Source organism: Homo sapiens, chromosome 1 (genome assembly GCF_000001405.40).
Source record: "Homo sapiens chromosome 1, GRCh38.p14 Primary Assembly".
Lineage (NCBI taxonomy): Eukaryota > Metazoa > Chordata > Mammalia > Primates > Hominidae > Homo > Homo sapiens.
The window spans coordinates 232,132,213-232,135,349 of NC_000001.11; the positions used below are offsets into that span (position 1 = coordinate 232,132,213).

Here is a 3,137-nt window from a genome sequence, read left to right on the forward strand (position 1 = left end):
TGACAGCCCCTGGGCAGCTTCAGGATGGGGTCTGTTCACAAAAAAAAAGCCAAGGCATGATTATAGGATTGAGATTTTCAGCTTTACTCCCAACCTCCAGAGAGGGGAGAGGGGCTGAACATTAAATTGATCACCAATAGCCAATGTTTTAATCAATCATACCTATGAAATGAAGCCTCCATAAAAACCTGAAAGGACAGGGTTCAGAGGGCTCTCATATAGTTGAACACAAGGTTTCTGGAGGGTGGTGCACCCAGGAAGGGCATGGAAGCTCTGTGCTCCTTCCCCCATGCATCTCTTGCCCTGTGCATCTCTTCATCTGTACCCTTTGTAACACCCTTTATAATAACGAACTGGTCAACATAAGCAAGCGTTTCCCTGAGTTCTGTAAGCTGCACTAGCAAATTAATTGAATCCAAATAAGAAATCCTGGGATTTATAGCTGGTCTGTCAGAAGCACAGGCAAAACAACCTTGGGTTTGCAATTGCACTGGAAGAGAGACAGGCTTGTTGAATAAATCTTCAACCTGTGGGATCTGATGCTGTTTTTAGGTAGATTGCATCAGAATTGAATTGGAGGACACCCAGCTGGTATCCACTCAGTCATTGATTGTTCACTTGTCCTCTGTATTGATTGTTGTGGTATGAGAGAAGAAAAAAGGAACAGTTTATTTTTTTCATTCAGAACCATCTAATAAGTTGTAGGCACTTGAAGGATTCCAAAAGTACTCATTTTTTTCTGGGGCTTTCTTCTGAGAGTCTTGTCAGTTATTTAATGAATACAAAGTGTAAAATAAACTTAAAATTTGAAGAAATTATAATCTGTTAAGATTTTTTAATATTAAAAACTATTTTAAAATTATATATATTTGTTCACTTTGAATGAATTTTAAAATCTTCCACTACAATGGAAAGATATCCAATTTAAGAGTTAGGAGAATTACATTAGAGAGCAGTTACAATTTCTAAAATGTTGGAACCCAAAAGTAACTCACATATATATATATATATTTTAAATGTCCCTATATTTTTGGCTCAGTGAGTGATGACTAAGTGATCAATAGGTAAAAATCCCATTAGGTACTTCTTTTCTGATTGGAAAAAGAGCATTTTAGGATTGCTATACTTTTAAAAGAAATACTACCTTTGTTTTCTTCATGGTTGCCTTAAGCATGACGATAGGTAGGAATAAGGCAGAAAGCCTCAAAGGGCGATTTAAGGGCATGGATGAAGAGTTAAACAAGCCACACAGTGAGAGCCATAAAGGTATGATGTCTCAAAGCCCAGAGTGGCCAATGTGGTCACAGCTATACAATGGGGTTTTTACAGAAGCTTCCAGAAGGGAATCTCTACTAAACAGTTGTGTATAGTTACAAGAATCAGGTCCTGTGACTGCTAGATTTGACAGAGAATGGAAAAGTAAGGATTTTCCATTAGAAAAGATGGAAAGCTAAACCGGCGAAGTGGTTATGGGTAAGAGTTGGAGGCAATGACACAGATATCCTACACCTCAAACCTTACAGGGCACTATATCTTGTAAGTTTACATAATAAAAGGTAGTCGTAATAACTGGTTAATGTTTTCTGTCAGTATTTTAATAAAACTTTGGACATTTACCAAAAATATTTGCTTCCCTCTCTTTTCTAAAAATGTTGGAGGCCTACCTAACAGTCTTCTTCAAATAGATATGTACCTTGCAGCAATTTCTTGGAGAAAAAAACAATGGGCATAACCCATTTGGAGGGCAAGTTGACAGTGTTTACTTAAATTTAAAACATGCATAATTTCAGGCCCAGAAAACTCTAGTTCTGTGAATGTACTCAAGAAAACGCTAGTATGTCTGCCTGAGAGGCACATGCAGGAGTATTCATTGCAGAATCAGAAGAGGACTGGCTGAATAAATGTGGTACATTCATACAGTGATGTAGACAGATACATCTAAAAAATTAAGCAAAGTACAGAATACTGTTTATAGCATGAAACCATCTATATAAAATTTAAAGCACAATAATACTTATCTTGCTTATGGATTTATGTATATGTAATGCAGAGTTACAAAAAGTGAACTAGAACATATATCAAGTTGGTAAGAGTAAATAGTTTTCAGAAAAAAAGAGGGTGACAGACCTGGGCATAGCAGACAAAGGCATATGCAGTTTTGAGGCAGGAGAATAGGGTCTGGGGACAGGGAACCCCAGGCCTTCCTAGAACTAAATCAATGGGAAAGACCCTGACTTTCTAAGACCAAGTAAATAACTTTGTAACTCTACTTCAGCTATGACAAGAAACATCCTCTTCATTTGCATAGGTGTAAAGAACTCTGTAACCTCACTTCATCCTCTTCATTTACATATGGCATACACCAAATAACCAGTGGGAAACCTCTAGAGGGTATTTCAACCCCAGAAAATTCTGTAACTAACCAGGCCCTTGAGCCACTTGCTTGGGCTTCTCCCACCCTGTGGAGTGTGCTTTCGTTTTCAGTAAATCTCTGCTCTTGTTGCTTCATTTCTTCCTTGCTTTGTTTGTGCGTTTTGTTCAATTTTTTGTTCAAAATGGTAAGAACCTGGCCATCCTCCACCAGTAACAGTTTTACTTGGAAATGTTTCATTTTTTTTATTTAAAAAAGTGTAAACATGACAAACAATAATTTCTAATCTGGGAAGTGGACACACATGTATTTATTTTAGGATTTTTATACTTTTTAAAATGTTTAGTTTTCAAAATTAAAAAAAATGTTGGAAAGAAAGGAGGATTTTGGTTTTTTTAAGATTGAATAATATTCCGCTGTGTATATATGTCACATTTTCCTTATCCAATCATCCATTGATTCTATGATAAATACATACAATTTTTATTTGACAATTAAAAATAAATTAATTAACTGAAAAAGAGATTGCAGTACCTAGGGATGGGAACTGGAGACACTAAGTGCTGAGGACAATTCCCCCAGCTGCTCTAAAGCTCAGGTAGCTGGGAAGCTACAGACAGAAAAAGCACACCTCAAGATCTCGAATACCAGCCCAAGAAAGAAACATTACATCTCCAGTGTTGTGGAAGATAAATGGATCTGCAGGCAAATATTAACCAAGAAGTCCCAGTTTCTACAAGAGTGAACACATTTAATTACTTGCATA

At 36.7% G+C, this 3,137-nt stretch overlaps 1 annotated feature.

The window, feature by feature from the left end:
* Positions 307–868: an enhancer, noted in NCBI's record as "NANOG hESC enhancer chr1:232268265-232268826 (GRCh37/hg19 assembly coordinates)". NCBI's record gives its function as "activates a minimal SCP1, AML or CMV promoter by ChIP-STARR-seq in naive H9 embryonic stem cells {active_cell/tissue: H9 hESC(naive)}" and the evidence as "EXISTENCE:reporter gene assay evidence [ECO:0000049][PMID:30033119]".